The sequence below is a fragment of the Homo sapiens genome, chromosome 16, assembly GCF_000001405.40.
Source record: "Homo sapiens chromosome 16, GRCh38.p14 Primary Assembly".
Classification (NCBI taxonomy): domain Eukaryota; kingdom Metazoa; phylum Chordata; class Mammalia; order Primates; family Hominidae; genus Homo; species Homo sapiens.
This window is the reverse complement of record NC_000016.10, coordinates 62,753,046-62,770,848: the sequence shown is the minus strand read 5'-3', so window position 1 is coordinate 62,770,848 and position 17,803 is coordinate 62,753,046. Positions and strand designations below refer to the sequence as shown.

At 36.6% G+C, this 17,803-nt stretch overlaps 1 long non-coding RNA gene across 2 annotated transcripts in view; it reads right to left on the bottom strand.

The window, feature by feature from the left end:
* LOC102723560 (uncharacterized) overlaps positions 1-17,803 on the bottom strand; it is a 110,046-nt gene that overhangs the window by 64,854 nt on the left and 27,389 nt on the right. For both annotated transcript variants that reach the window (XR_933663.3, XR_933661.3), the window contains exon 3: positions 1,765-1,857. This is a non-coding gene — a long non-coding RNA (uncharacterized LOC102723560). The remainder of the gene's footprint in view (positions 1-1,764; positions 1,858-17,803) is intronic.

Sequence of the window (17,803 nt, the reverse complement as noted above, 5' to 3'; positions counted from 1 at the left end):
ATTCCCTATGATTGCAGTCCACTTCCTGCTTTTTAATTTGCAAACATAACTCATCTAATTCAAAACATTTGCAGGTACAATATGTCACCTCCAATATACCTTGTGGAAAAATAAATTCTTTGGGATAGAGATATTTCTGTTCCTTTTACCTATTCTTTCCATAAACAGTTCAAAGCAAATTAAACATTGAAGTAAACTGCAAGCATTTAATCAATCCTAACACCCATTTATTGCTGCTTAAACTACAAAGCAATAGGATTATCTCCAATGCATTCATAAATCTGCTCCAGAAAATCCGTCTCTTTCTGTGTCTATATTTCTTCCATGATGGTTTATTGCTTTTGAGAAGTTTGTAGTGTGAAAGTTCTACAATACTAAATCATTTTGAGCAAAAGAGAAAGAAACTATATTATAATTGCAAATAAACCAGATAATAACATATTATTAACCTTCAGTGGTCCCCCTGAACCATCATTAACACATATCTATTATGCATTTATATATCTGTGTTCATTGTGCTTGACACTGAAAAAGCAGAGGTGTCTCAAACAACCTTTATCTTTATTGAATACCCAAGTCATCGCAGAAGAAAACAAATGCTTTATTCTATGCAAAATCCATATGATTACTAAATCAAATGAATAGTGATCTAATAGAAGGGTGTATGCTAGACTATAAACTCCATGAGGAGAAAATTTTTGTTATTGTTGTCTTCTGTAACGTATCTCAGAACTTAGAGTAGGTTGTTGGGCATGTAAATGTTCAAGAAATATTAAACTAGTGAATGCGTAAGTGAATGAATTAATCAACGTGGAGAATATGTAATACAATTTGCTGCACCGGCTTAAGATAATCTTCATAAAGATGGTTTGATATAGGTTTGGCTCTTCTGCATGGAAAAGGGAAAAAATGATGATATTGGTCACTTTTTTTTTTTTGGTGATTGTTATAACTTTTGGAATGGTTCATAAACTTTCCAAATTCTTTTACATTTGTAACACTGTTATCTTTTTTCTTTTCTTTTTTTTTCCAATTGTGAGCCATTCCATATTGCATCTTTATTGCAAAAGTCAACGTGCTTCTTAGAAATTCAGATTGTGATTGATAAAATGAACATAACATATATGAATTTAAATGTATAAACAGTTAGAAATTCAACAGTATCTCCTATTATATTATTACACAAGTTCACAATTTTATAAAACCATAATACAGGCATACTATACATCAAGAGGAACCACTATTCCTTTTCATATTATTTTTTTCCTTTTTGAAATAATGATCCATCACTATGGACCCTTTTCACCTTAACATTTAATGTTAGTGGAAGCAATATCATTTTTTATTGAAATCACTCTGTCTTATCCCAAGTGTTTTCTAACATTTTGCAGGAAGAGACTTGGTGTGAGCATCATTACAAAACTTTAGCAGTTATGATTCTACTATGCCCCTTCCAAAGAGGTAGTAAGGTGAAACTCAAACACAGGCATCAATCAAAGATGGAACCTCAGACTTTTATTTGTTTTCTGGTTCTTTTAACCACATTTTTGTCTGGACTTTGCTTACTCGTCAAACTCAGATCAATTCTCTGCAGAAAGAAACAAGTAATGTGTGTGTGTGTGGTGTGTGTGTGTGTATGTGTGTGTGTGTGTTTAATATTACAAAATGCACTCTGCCTTCTCCTCTGTCATCAAAAATCCTTTCAATATTTCTGTTTGCTTACAAAATGAAATTTAAAGGGATTATCTCATTTCCTTAGTTTACCTTTCCAGTCTCATCTTGGTCCATCTCTTCTCTCCACACATCAGCCACATTCATTCTCTTGGTTCTTGGAACACTCTGTCTTCAGTCGCTTTCCTGAAACAGAAGTTACAATGAGTTTTCATGATAAAGAAATGTGTTAGGGTGTGCTTACAGGGGAAAAGATATGACATACATGTTAAGGCGTGCTTAAAGGGGAAAAATATGAGAAAAGTAGATAGATCAGATTGAAAGAATTAAGCAGTAATTTGGTCTCAGATGAAGACTACCTTCTTAATAATTCCACAAAAATTCTGGGCACAAATTACACCACAGAGTTATTTCTACCTTGAGATAATGGGGCCAGCCTCTTGAATTCAGTTAGTCATAGACTATGTCTTTGCTCTTAGGTGAGGGAAGACTGATACTTACCAGGTCAGGTTGATTCCATTTGTTGATTCCATTTTTTGTACTATTCCTTAAATAAACAGTTATGAGCTGCTAGCAGTCAACACTTACAGCATCTTTAGTGGGTGAGGCTGCACCAGTCAAGGAAAGGGGATTGGGGAAATATAAGCGTGCGTTCCACAGGAGAATTTTTGTACTGCTCGTATCCACTTCTTTTCATGTTAAGTTCATTCCCCACAATCACAGCTTCTCCAGCACTCTAGTCAGTCACAACCTGGGATAATTTACAAATTGCAATCCCATGCTGCAATTCTCCCACAGCTCTTACTGAAACCTATCATCTTCCTCTGCCACATGTTCTATACCTCAATCCTCCTAGGCTGGAACTTCTGCAGATCTAGACCCTCATCCCTGAGGAGTCTGAGGTGCTGGTTACCATGTTCTGATCAGATACGCTTGCTGGACTTGTTCATGTACCAAGTGATGCTCCAATGGAGTCAGCTAAGTACTCATTTGGGTCTCCTCTTTGGCCAAGGACAATTATGCAGAGAAGGAAGCAACTGTGTATTGTCAGCAAATATCACAGGAGCTAGAAAATGAATGTTCCAGCATATGAAGGAGACCTGGGCAGGGCACTTGCAACATGCACTATGCAGGCTAAACTCTTTACTGCTTCAGGACCTGTGCACTTCCCATCTTTTTACTTAGAATGCTTGTCCTTCTGCTGTTTCAATGGCCAGCTCTTCCCCACAGTTCATTGAGAATCATACCTGCTTCCCTTTGAGAGACACCATTGCCAACCATCCCACCTAGATCTTATTGTCATCATTTACATCATTCCTGTGTTTTCCACTTTTTAATATTTAGCTAGATTTACAATAACATAGTTTGACACTTTATTTCAGTTTTTTCTCTTTTACTACTAAAAATGTATGCTTAGTGAGGATAAAAATAAATTTGATTTGTTCACTTCTTTATCACTAGCCTCTAGGATGGAGACAAAAATAGAGAAACAAAGAAGATGTATTGGGTGCATATTTGAATGCAGCAGTTGTGTATAAAGGTTGTAATGGTCTTGGGTACTCAACCTTTATACAGACATTGTGAATTTCCCCATCATATTAGGAGCCTAGGATAACTGTGTTTATTTACCTGCATCACTTTCCCAAAATACCATGTGTGCTCATTATAATGCCTCCAATCTCATCACCAGGAGCATCTCACGTCCTTAACTACTCAACCCTTTTTTGCCTGTCTCTTTAATTTGCGATCTCATAAGACACATTTGGTTGCAGTAAATCTATTTTTCCCTCCCTTTTTTCTTGAAAGAATCTACCAACTTCTTATCTTGATATCAGGACACAATGCATTAGGTTTAACATAAAGCCAAAAGATGTGTCAACCATTCATTGTTAAACAGATACATTTGGTTCCTTTTTCCTCTCACTAATATTGTATTTAAGTAGCTTCAGTATGTCTATGCAGCTTTGGAAACACGTTCAAGATATTTTATTCTCTTTATGATTAATTCTTAACTATTAATTTCAGAATCCAAATTCAGGGTGATGTAAATTCCTTACTTTCAGAGTAGTGAAGTGTAAGAAAGGTTAGAAAAGTCCCAGAGATAGGACTCTAGTTCAGGTTATTAATTCTATGTAACAGGAAAATGATGTAGCTCATATGAGGAGAAAAACTAAAGTTTATTTTTAAATACACACATTTGGATGCATTTTTGTGTAAATATATGCAAAAATACACATTTGTATATGTATATATACACACATATATGTACAAGTATATGTGCGTGTATTTATATATAGAGAGAGAATGCTTATAAATAAGATGTAATCTTTTTTATCTAATATATTGAGACACTTGACTAAGAATGGTGGTATTGTTAATATCTAATATCCCATTCCCACCAGTGCTACCCTTTAATAAAGTTTTTGCCTCTCATCAAAACACAAAAGTCAGCTCAAACTGTTTATTTTCATATCCTTAGCATTATTGATTTTGAGCACTCCATATGTTGTTTTGTGTACTTTTGAAGATAAGATGTAATTATTGAAAGAAATGGATCAATGAAATAAGAGATTTAGCTGCTTATTAGTTTATCTCACTCTGCCTCAAGCTCGATTTCTCAAAGAAAACAAGCCATCTGTATGTACGCTTTTTGGGAAAGAAAATTAACTAGAGTCGGTGTTCTGGGTAAACTTCTGATATTTACTTCAATTACTCTGTGAGGCATCCCTAACATGACTATGAACTCTGAGAGAACTTGTGAGAAGAGTTGCCATTCTATTACAGCTCAAACATCAGTGATTTTCAAGGATTCATCGTGGAATCTATTCTAGGCATACTACAAATAGGATATGTAACTGCACTTTGATATTGTCTAAACCGGATTGTGTTCATGCTTGTTCTTTAAGAATATAGTTAGGTTATGAAACAACCTAATTAGCTCTTTTAATGACCAAAACACTGTCCCTCTTGTTAGGCAATGTAGTCTCATCTTATCTGCTCAGCTCTTAAGGAAGTCACAAAAGCAATGCTTCCTCTCCAACCCAGGCTTAGAGGCTTAAGATGAATTTATTTCAAACATGCATATTCATGATTTTCCTTTATTTTACCTTATCTGCCCCTGCCTTTACTTTCTTAAATCTCATTTTAGCTTGCGTGTAATACTCCGATATTTTGAGTGTACCCTTGGAAAAGACTAATGCATAAATTAACATAAATAATCTCTTAAAAGTAGTTGTATCCTAAGCCATCTGTCTATCTGAAATCTAACGTCTTCTATTTGATTGGTTGGACAGATCTCATGATGTTGGATAACTCTAGAACTTACCCAAGTAGAAATAAATAATAACTTTTGAGGTAAAAAGAAAAGTAAAAATAAATTTCCTGGAATTTTCTCAATAACTTCTTATCACAGATTCATGGAACCTTGGGAATAGATAGAACAAAAGCTCACCTGAGGGTTTTATGAATATTGATATGGTTCTCATTTGTTCCTTCAACGTTTTGCACCTTCCCTTATATTTTTATTGTATAGTCTCTTCTTCCCTTTCTCTGTCCTTCAATAATTTGCAACTCTGCAGAAGGGAAGTTAGATGGTTTACCTATCAGAAGCATTAATGGGACTGGGGATACTGATCTGGTCCCATCAAGCACCTGACGTTTGAATTCTCTTGTAAATATTTCCAAAAAATACTTAGCCTCTATTATTATTGTACCACTACTGAGAGCAAAAATAATTAGGAGTAAAAACAATAAAAATGATTAAAAGCATATTGTTATTTATATTATATTTGAGTACTTTGATGCCTCAGGAACTTTTATATACATTACTTCTCATCCTTGTCTCATTTAGTAAAGTTACTCCTGCCATGTTTTGGAGAAAGTAACTGAGATGTCAAGAAGCAAAGTGACTTGCACAAAACCATAAAGGTTGGCTGTCAGACTAGGAATGTTAGCACATTCACTAATGCACATTCTTGGAACAACTCTAGTGATGTAGAACTCAGTAAATATGGAAGCAGACATTGTTTTTCCACTCAGGGGAAAAAGGTTTTAATTAAAAACCTATATATGAAGGTGAATTCAAACTATATTCTGTTAGACAATTGATTACTCAGAGTAATTAGAATCTATTATAGTTATTCTCATATTTCAAGTGTTCACACTTATATATAGATTTATATATTACATATATAGCAGAGATTATTTATTAGCATAATGGTATTTCTGAACATATTTCTTATACAGACCTAGAGTGATACAATCGAGTTTAGCTTTTACAAAATACATCACAATATATACCAATATTTCTCATTTACTTCATTTGGTAAGAATTCAGATTCACATACAAATTAAGATTTGCTCCAACAGCACTTTTCGAACTTGAGTGTATAAAATGCAATTCAACTTACTCAGCAGAATGATGTACCCCCAAAACTAGAGTAGTTAGAGTTTGCTGTGAAGACATAAACTACTACATTTACTGCCAGGAAGTTTTTGGTAACATCTAAAGCAAAGGAAGGTAGTCATAACATCTGAACCCATAAAAGCTGGTTATACAGAAATTACTACAGTATGGAAAATTAGAAGTCACATCCAAAATACATGGAATAAAAGAATACTTATTATTTTAATTTCTTTTAATGCATTTATTCAAGTACTTATTATTGACACCTGCTCTAAAACACATATAGTGCCAGAAGCTGGAGGTACATATAAAAATAATGTCTGGGTCAGGCACGGTGGCTCGTGCCTGTAATCCTAACACTTTAGGAGGCTGAGGCGGGCAGATCACTTGAGGCCAGGAGTTCGAGAACAGCTTGGCCATCATGGCAAAACTCTGTCTCTATTAAAAAGACAAAAATTAGCCAGGCATGGCGGTGCATGCCTGTAATCCCAGCTACTTGGGAGGCTGAGGCAGGAGAACTGTTTGATCCTGGGAAGCAGAGGTTGCAGTGAGCCAAGATTGCACCACTGCACTCCAGCCTGGGTGACAGAGCGAGACTGTCTCAAAGTAATAAATTAAATTAAATTAAAAATAATATCTGGGCCTTAGTCAAAAGGAGTGTACAGTCTCATATGAAGACAGATTTTATCATAATGTAGCCTATGTTACTGGTATGCAAAAAATAATGGAAGAATGGGGGTCTGGTTTTGGAGAGGAAATGACATTTGCACCATGTTTTGAAAAGAGATTAGGATATTCTGGGAAAAGATGCAACAAGAGGCAGGCAAAGACAGCATTAGAAGTTCATTGTGTGCCTTGCAAATATGTAAACTTTGTTTTCTAAAGAAAATAAGGATTTATTTAAATTATAAGAAAAATGACATTAGCAATAATAATAATGACATTAGTAGGTTTTAATTATTCTGGAAAAAACATGGTGAATAGATGGGGACTGGGTAAGAGAAAAGATTAAAACATTCTAGGCAGGAATTGATGAGGTCTAGCTATAGAAGCAGTAAGAAGAGAGAGCGAGGACTCAATGACTATTCAAGGGTCAAGGTTAATATGTGTATTCTATACATAGAACATATAAACCAATTGATTTGGACCCTCCCTGTGTACCATTTCGAGCTTATTGTGGCCATGTTCTCTAACAGCATTGCACAGATGCAATCAGACAGTGGCTCATCTTGGCCTGTGCTACATACCTCTCCCTTCCTAATCTGGGTCTTTTCTGATCCTATGGCAAGGATCCTGTGTACCATTTCAAGATTATTGTGGCCATGTTCTCTAACTGCATTGCACAGATGCAATCAGACAGTGGCTCATCTTGGCCTGTGCTGCATACCTCTCCCTTCCTAATGTGGGGGGTCTTTTCTGATCCCATGGCAAGGGACGCCTGCAGAACCTGCTCTTTGCTCACATATATGTACTCCACAGTGTAGGAGGCTAATGCCCACAGGGCTATCTATGACCAAGTGGAGACAATGAATAAATCCACCCCTTTGTCTCTGGAGCATTTTATTCTAAGATATATTTCAAAAAGCAACTTATAGAAGATGCCAGCTGACAGAGCCTTCAGTCACCCACAGCAATGACCAATACCTTAACACAAATGTATGTAGCCTTTCTCTCTTCTCTTGTGTTACTCCCCCTGTCCTTTAATCCCACTCCCTGTATGTCATGCCCCAAATAAAAAAGTGCATATTCAAGCCTTTATTTCAGGTTCTGCTTTTAGGGGAAACTAAGTCAAAGTATTGGTTGGCAAGAAATATCTTACCAGGTGTGTCTTGTTTATAGCTTTCTGTCCATAGTCCCTAAATCAGAGAAAATTCTATAAAGACCTTATAATGATATACCTACAATCTCAGCAGATGTATTATTTGATGTTTCAAAAGACAGGATCAGAAGAGCCATGAAATAAACTGAGCAACAGCCCAGAAGGAGTTCTAGCATGACAGAATTAGCCAGGCCCATCTGATTCTCGGTGAGATCTTTCATGAGAAAAATGAGTGGGGAAAAGCAAGATCATTGGACACCTAAACAGAAATTAAGGCATGGGTACAGAAAAGGCATTAGGTGAAATTGTGGGAATATGTATCTGTAAGCTACACTCCCGAGGAAGCAGAAACCATTAAGTGAACAGACACGAAGTAGGAAAAGATACCCAAAATATAAAGGAAATGCCAGACCATGGTGAGAGAAGAGAGCAGATGACAGAATCAGATGCCATAAGAGAGACAGAGAGAGACAAAGGTTACTCAGTTTCTAGCTGATTTCCATTTCCTGTCTTAGATTTTTAACCACAAGTATCTTACAATAAATTTCATTTTTTAAAAAGTTCTATGTCATCCTCTGATTCTTGTAAGTAGAAGAGCAACGCTAAATTTTTTCTCATTCTGTTTCCTTTGGTAACATTTGGCAAAATCTTTCCACAGTCCAGATAAAAAGGAAGTTCCTCCCAGACCTCCCACATACTTCTTCCAAAATCTTCCCCTTTCACTGCAGTACATTTTCATTGATTTGGCTATCAGGAGCACAGCCAGACAAAATCATCTAAGACTCACGACATTATGCAATAACTTGAAAATACCAAGCACTTTAATGTAATTATCTTGTCTAAAACAGTTTAGCAAACAGAAAGTCAAGCTTCTGATGGTTTATGCTAATATGCCTCAGAAGCAATCACACTGGTTATTTTATTATTTCTCTTTCCCATATGTCTGTAAGTACACCTCACTTGGAAAAGGATTAAGACAGACAAGACAGACAGACAGCACTTTTATTTCTTAAAAGTTGATGTTAAATCAATACTAGTGATTTGCTATATTATTTCAATAATACTATTGATACTATCGATGTTCAATACTATTATGTAAAAACACAGTAAGTTTCAGAAGTAATTTCATTTGTTATGCACTTGAAAAAAAGGAAGTGAATGATATATTTTAACTGTAAAACAGAATTTAAAAAACACAAAAAAATTCACAATATTATAAAACAAAATGAAACGAAAAGAGATGTTGAGCTTCCACCTTCCATCTATGGTAATATTGAAAGACTATGGAAAGGGTGTGATCTGAATTAGGGTTTGCCAAATTTTCCCTGTAAGTAACCCAATAGTAAGGATTTTTGGCTTAGTGAGCCACGAAACCTGTCATAACTAATGCAATCAGCAGAGTAGAAGCATTTACAAGAAGGGAAGATTCAGATATTCAAATTCAAAGTTGGTAGAGTTCAAAGACACTGAGTCTTAAAAATATGGCCTGTGTGGGCCAGGCGTGGTGGCTTACGCCTGTAATCCCAGCACTTTTGGAGGCCGAGTGGGGGGCAGATCACGAGGTCAAGAGATCGAGACCATCCTGGCCAACATGGTGAAACCCCATCTCTACCAAAAATACAAAAAAATTATCTGGGCTTGGTGGCATGCGCCTGTAGTTCCAGCTACTCTGGAGGCTGAGGCAGGAGAATCGCTTGAACTTGGGAGGTGGAGGTTGCAGTGAGCTGAGATTGCGCCACTGCACTCCAGCCTGGGTGACAGAGCAAGACTCTGTCTCAAAAAAAAAAAAAAAAAAAAAAAAAAAAAAAAAAAAACATGGCCTCTGTGGAGGGATGAGGACGGGTAATTTTTCTGATGGAAAGGGAATGTCATAGATTGAGTTCCCCAGGAACTGGAGGTTCATAAGAGAGTGCTCTTGGGGGTGACCATGTGTAGAAGAGAATAGAAGAAAGCAGAATTGGGCAGTGGAAGAAGTTATGCAATCTCAACAAAGGCCTCGGACAATCATATGAGGAGCTTTGAAGCTGAGATGACTCCCTCAGAATTCTCCCAAGTTGGCTCAAGAGGGCAAGTTATTAATGCTTTTACATTGATTAATCCTCAGGTAAGTAATGGTCAAATAGAAGTATATCCATGAGGGAGGGGACTCTTTTCAATTGAGTTCTAGAAGCAGATGCCCCAGGATTCCTAGGAAAACCTATGAGGGAGGCTAGTAGAATGAACTCTAATCCCTCCTCAACAGCTGCTGTCAGAGTTGCAACTACTATTCTTTCACCTCTGATGCCATTCTACACTCCTTCCACACTCAGCTAGTTCCCCATCTGGCATAGCAGATTCCCCCAGTGACATAACCCAGATCCATATGCTTGACAGATTTAAGCTCATGTTTACCATATCCATTGTAAGCAGAAGTTATTGAACTTGTCCAATTACTATCAAAATCAGGCAAGGGAGTACAAAGAGGCACCCAAGTGAATCACTTGTGTGTGCCAAATTCATTCATTCTGCCCTCATTTTGACAATTCCACCACCAACAGCAGCCCTGACTTCTTTTTATTAATAGGACTAATTACCCCTGTAAAGATGGTAGTTCTGCTTCTTGAGTGCTAGTCTCTTTCATGAAATCTGAAGTACCAAAGCGGAAGCTGTAGTTTGTATTTCCACAGGACTCTGTGTTCCCAGTGGAAGCATTCCCACCTTAAAAACTAGGACCCTTAATTTTAGAGTCCCACATTTCAAGAATAAGAATTAAGTCAGATATTGTATTTCTGATAAGTGGAAGTGATGGTTAGCCAAGCCATGCCTGGGTTCCTGAACCTACGCTCCAAGTGTACACCATATCCTGGAGGATGACTCTCCATATTCTCAAGATGTTATCCCCAGATTGGTGCCTCATTTGTGCATTAAACTGGCTATTCCATCATTCTATCAGTCTGGCAATTGGCAGCTTCTGAGCAGTGTGGAACATCATGTGACCTGTGGAACTCATACATGGTAAAGGCCTCATACCACTTTTTCTATCAAGTGGAGTCCTTGACTTGAAGTGATATCAGGGATTTTCCATGGGTGGATTAAACATTTTCTAAGAGAGTGGTGATAGCAGAGGCCCTATTGTCAAGGTAAACTTGCACATAAAAGTATAGAAAGATTTCACCAAGTTGCTTTGTGATTTTTCTATAATAGATCATTTTGGTGGGTGCTAAACGTGATTTGAAGATCTTCACACTTTATGTCCACTCTCTTTCACTGGTCCACGTGATTCTATCCCAAGAGTTCTTGTCCTTGATTTTCTCAACATTATTCATATTCATGTACATTCTAACCTCATGCTATTATTGTTCCAAACAGCCTCTAATCACTGCTTAATCATTCTCCCAAAGTTGTTTTTTTTTCCAAAGCAATCAAGATTAGCAATCAAAATGAACAATTCTACTGTTTTTATAGTTACTAGTTTTCCGATAGTTCAAACCTCTGTAAACATTTCAAGAGCTAATACATTTGCTCAAACTAGTATAATATTCCAATTCAATGTGGGCGAAGTTTGGACAATTGCATTGATCCCTTCTACCAGAAACAATCTGCTCCTTCAACGGCCAGTGACGGGTCCCTTAATGCCAGCTGGCTGGCAAGTGACCCAGCTGGAAAGTTCCATGCTAGATCCTACTTCCTCCAAATTCCCTGGCAGCAACAAATGTAGTTTGAGTTCCCCGAAACCAAACTCTAGTATGAAAATTACTTTCTCAGATACTTTTAGAAAACAATCTTGGAGTCACCTCCCTGTAAAATGGGGGAAAACAACACAGGATTGGCCAGAGAGCAGACAGACTAGGATTCAGGTATAACAGAAGTCACCGTCTCCAGGAGAAGGTCTGACGCCGGGATAACACTTCAGTGTTGCCCAAGAACTGACAAAAAAGGCCAGTTTCTTGTGGCCATATAGGCCAGTCAGTGTAGGAGGACTGACCTGGGAAGAACTGGAACCTTTGTAGAGATGAGGCTTACCTGAGGCAATCCTTAAAGATGGTGGAAAGCTGAAGGCTGTCTGTTGGCAGCAACACACACTTCAACTGGGTGAATAAATCCTTAATTTTTGAAGAAGTAGCTAGGCAGTATATCATGGTATCCACTGCAGTGGGGTAGAATAGGATCTATATTTCAACCAGATTGCAAGTACCTCATGCCTAAAGATCACATTTCTGATGTTCACCCAGTTCAACAATACATTTAGTGACCACTTGTTGTATGAATATTAATGTAAAACTATTTAAAATGATAACCAATATATCATTACGTAGTTTGTGATTTATTATTTTTAAACATAATCCTGTATCTCTGCAATACATGACGTTAAGTATATTAAAAATCCATTTGCTTTATCACTTAAGAAACATATATTTAACTGCTAGATACTGTGCCAGATACCATATTAGACGCTGGAGAAGTAATGCGAGGATTTATGGGCACTACCCTCACTGAGCTGATTTAGAAAGATGAGACAATTAAACATGTAATAGTTTCACTTTTCTCCAAAATCTCCCTTAGGTCTCACTCAAAACACTCAATGTAGACATGATTTCTCTATGTTTTTAGTTCTTATTAGAGGTTGTGGTGGGAACATGGCAAACACAAATTAAAATTATACATAAAGGAATAATAAAAAAATTAAATGAGCTAACATTTGTAATTACAAAAATGTCCAGCACAAAGTAAAAGCTACAAATAAAACATGTAAGTTATGATAAATACTAAGGAATTAACCAGAAAAGTGATACTTAGAATTTTCTGAGTTGAAAGCAGCTTCTTTTCACTAGTACTTGGTTGAAGAAATGATTTAGGTAGAAATTGCTTAGCATGTTGGAGAAACAATGAGAAGGCTACTAATTTTACTGCATTTAAGAAGTGACCGAATCAGAAATCCATAATTTTCTCTTAAGCACGTTGTATATTTCTGGAGAATATTTGGTGTATTTTCCCTGTTGCTGTTCTCTGAAATCAGGCCCACATACCACTCTTTACAGCCCCCTATGGTACTTTGCAGGGGGTTAGTCACATCATTGGAATTCAATAGGCCTTTTGATTAAATAACTATAAAAGTTATTAATTTCAAATACAAGAAAATGGTTCTTTTTTGGGACTTGGAGACTATTCTATAATCAAACTAGTAATATTCTCTGATTTAAATTTAAAATAAAGCAGAATGGGTACTTTTTATGTTGTTGTTTTTAAACAGCATGAATCCTGGCCAAAAGCACTCCAAGGAACTAATCTGAGTGAATCACTGCATTTCCTAGTGAAACTGTAAATTTCAGCATGGATTAAAAAAAACATAAAACCTCAACACTTCAAGATATTAATTAACCTACTTATAGATATATGTAGATAAATGGCAGAACTTGGAACCCCCTTAGATTTTCTGACTTTCCCTACTTAGTTGTAAAACATCAAAGAGAGAGTAATAATAATTTTCTGGGTCTTTTTTTGTATCTTGAATATTATATTATTGTAAGCAGATGTTAAACTTTTATTGATAAAAATGAGATCATTCAGGGAAACCATCGGCTTTTTTAAGTTTCTTTTTAAAACTTTTTTATTTGTGGTCTCTTTTTAAAAGAGTTTACTATCACCTTTATTAGAACAGACTGTCAATAAATTCTGAATTCTCCAGGTAATCTCTTAACTCATTAGATCATTATTTTTGTGAGGGATAAAAATGAAGCTTACAAGTAGACTTTTTTTATTATTTACCATAAGTTATTTTTACCCAGAGCTATAAGGTAGAAACAAATCAGAGTCCGAAATATGAAGTTTTAAGCTTGATTCTTCTAGTAGTACTTAATTTTTTCCCCCATCAGGAAACTGGATTTCCCAACCTCAGGAGAAGTAAATATATAATCTGTGGGTCCTTTCCTTGTCTTTCTGTATGTAACATAAATCAGTTACATCTTTTTCAGTCTCCTATCTCTCTCAAGCTATTGTTTAAAGTCAAATAGGCCATACAATATTAGTTGAAGACAAAGGTGGCCAAGCTTTTTGAAGATTATTAAAGCACTCAAACAACTCTGTCAGAAAATATTCCCAACATCAGATGCTGAGTACAGAAAAGTGCTGGAGGAATTGTAGATGACAGAAATAACAATTTCATACTCATTTTGTTATTTTCTTTGAACAGAAGATGACAGTGTGTAACACTGAGTATGTGAGAATGTGAATTTATGAATGAGCCAGTCAGGCATGTTTGAACCAGAGCATCAGTAAGCCCCCTACCATTATGGTGAAACAAGGAGTCAGACAAAAACATTAGCCTTTGTTTTCTTTCTTCATGGGTTCTTACATTAGGATTTCGACAAAAAGGGCTAATATCCAGAATCTACAAATAACTTAAACAAAACTTACAAGAAAAAATCAAACAACCCCATCAAAAAGTGGGCAAAGGATATGAACAGACACTTCTCAAGAAAATTATTTTTCTTAGTTCTCTCTGCAAACCAAAGTAGTTTCCGTGGAGAGAGAACAATGGCCCCCAAAGACATCCACATCCTAATTCCTGGAACCTGTGTATACGGTATCTTACATTCCAAAAGGGACTTTACAGATATGATTAAGTTAGAGATTTTGAGATAGGAAGACTATTTTAGATTATTCTTATGGGCCTAATGTGATCAAAGGAGTCTGGATTAGTCCGTGCTCACACTGATAAAGATACTACTGGAGACTGGGTAATTTATAAAGAAGAGGTTTAATTGACTCACAGTTCCACGTGGCTGGGGAAACCTCAGGAAACTTAGAATCATGGTGGAAGGGGAAGTAGGCAGCTTCCTCACAAAGCAGCAAAAAAGAGAAGTGAGAGCGCAGGGTAAAAAACTGCTGCTTTGAAAACCATCAGATCTCATGAGAATTCACTCACTTTCATGAGAACAGCGTGGGGATCCAATCACCTCCCTCCCTCTGCACATGGGGATTACAATTTGAGATGAGATTTGGGTGGGGACACAGAGCCAAACCATATCAGAGTCCTTATAAGCGGGAGGCTCAGAGTAGGAAATGTGACGATAGAAACAGAGACCAGAGAGGTAGAAATTTTAATATGCTATTGTGCTGGCTTTGAAGATTTAGAAAGGGATGAAGGGCCAAGGAAAGCAGGTGCTCTCTAGAAGCTGAAAAAGTCAAGGAAAACAATTCCTCAGCAGAGCCTCTACAAGGAAGGTAACCCTGTTGACCCTTTTTAGACTTCTGACCTTCTCAACAGCAAGATAATAAATTTTTGTTTTTCAAAGCCACTAAGTTTGTGGTAATTTGTTACAACAGCAATAGAAGACTGATCTAAGTCCCAATCTCCATCTCTAAAGAAATAATATCTCTTCTTAAATTAGTCTTAGAGTGAATAAAAGACAAAGGCTCAAGCTATCAACTCTCTGTGGGTTCTAAAGATTAAATGTATTTAAAATAATACATGGCGAGGCTATACAAAGGAAGATTTACATTTTGGTTGCTATGGTGATTATTAAATCTACATCTATGTAATGCATTATTTTGAGCAACACAAGCCATTTTGAACAAAACAAAGTAATGCAACACATTCCTATGGCTCATTACAAATATATAACCTTCTGAAATAAACATTTCAGGTTCAGCTTCAGTAATTTTTTTTAATATCTACTATGTCCTGGGTATCCTATGAGTAAGTGTGTGTGTGACAGAGAGAAAGAGAGAATTTCCAGTACTTTATGTAAAACATTATCACCACGTCTTTCTTTTAGCAGTACCCGCTAGTCATTTATTAATTCATATAATTATTTTAAAATATTTATGGCATAATTTAAATGGATTCATTATTAGGAGATGTTTGGAAATATTACCCATCTTTAATTTGTGAGACATGTCATGGTTTTCACAAACTTTTTGAATCTTTATTTGCTCTTCATCCTTATTTGGTAAGCTAAGACTTCAAATTCTTTCTCTCCCTCTTCCCTTCATATGAACTCTTCTTGCCTAATGTTGAGATGCCAGGAATTCATGGGATTAAAATGGTAGCACTTTCTCTAAGAAATTTGCATTATCAAAGGTTTCAGAGTATTACATTCTAAACATGAAGCCCTATTGTTAGAAGTGTTATTTGTCTAATCTTTGGCATTTTAAACTCCCATTTATAATAAATTGTACAGTTTACAAAGCACTTTTCTTTTGGAAGAACACAAGGTTTAGAGTTATCATTTAGGGTTCTGACACAAACTCCGCCACTTCACAAGCTGAGTGAACACTGGTAACCTGCTTAATATTTCCGAGCCTCAGTTTCTTATCTTAAAAAAAAAGAAATAAGTGGAAACGATAATACCTATTGTATATCTTTGTTTTGAAGATGTAGTAATATATTTTTAAAAGAATGTTAAACCATAAGAAACAATGTAAACAATGGTAATAATTTTTATTACTATCATTGTAATGGTTATCTATTAATATATAATAAATATCTTGGAACTTAGTGGCTTAACACAATGAACACATGATCTCGTAGCTTCTGTGGATTAGGAATCTGGGTGTGGTTTAGCTGAGTCCTCCAGTGGAGATGTGTTAGATGGGCTACAATCAAAATGTCTGGCTGGGCTACAGTTATCTCAGGGCTTTATTGGGGCACATACACTTCCAAGCTTGTGTATATTATTGTTGACAGTATTCAGTTCCTCAAGGGCAATTACAGTGAGGCCTCACTTCCTGGTTACCTGTAAACTCCGGGGATACCATCAGCTCCTCATCAGGTGGAACTCTCCATATGGAAGCTTATGACATGGCAGCTGGCTTCCCTCAGAGCAAGCAAGCAAGAGTGGATGCCCAGGAAAAAAAGCCAGTCTCTTGGTAACTTAATTTCAGAAGTGATATTACATCTTTTTTTTTTTTGGTATTCTATTTATTAGAAGCAATTCATTAGGTCCAATCCATATTCAAGTGAACAGCATGCACCAGATTGTGAATTCTGAGAACTGGAAGTCACTGGGGCCATATTAGAAGCTACTTGCCATAATTATTGTTATCTAGTTCTTAAAATTGCCCCTCACCAAAATTCTAGCCACGGGGTCAAGGCATTTTGCTTTAAAAGGAATCTTGGATAGTTAGCCGAAGGCAAAATAGACACTCAGGTCCAGTTTTAAGGGTCCATTTCCATGTGCATTTGAATTTATATTTCATGATTAAAGTACAAGGAACACATTATAAATTTTCTCACAGGAAACTCTTATCTAGGGGTCTGGGTAATGGAATATGCCAAGCTATGAAGTTTTGCAAAACACTTGGTTGCAGGGGAAAAATAGATTAGTGCTCTCTTAACTATGACTAAACCAGTGGGTACGGCATGCAATCACCATTTCCAAAACAATTATGTTGAATTTAATAGCTCTTCAACTCTTTCTGGTGCTGCAACAAGACTACTGATTTAATGGTGCACCAAGCTGCTACAAACCAGAGGTTAAAACCCATGGTTAAATGACTCTGGTGAGTGGTATTGAAAGCTATCATCACGTGGACAGTTCTCAGACTCCAGGAAGGGGGAAAGAGGAGGGTGGTATGAGGAAGGAGGTAAAGAGGAAAATAGAACAAAACAGGAAAAGCCAACAGGCAGCTGAGGCTTTCAAAAGCACTCAGATACTGCCGATTTATTTTTCTTTTCTTTTTTTTTGTCATTCCAAATGTTAAATTGAGGTGATTATAAACCTCTTGTTTGTTTCATTTTGCTTTCAGTTAAAAAGTGAAAATTAAAAGACAGTGGGGATAAACTGCAGAGAGAGCTTTTGACAGCTGAAGGATGGAAAGCCCATTACCCATAATCATAATACAAACCCTCTGGACAATGCTGGGGGAGGGAACCTCTCACAGGAGAGGCGCTGGAAATGACCCAGGCCTGGCAGGCCCTGAGGCCA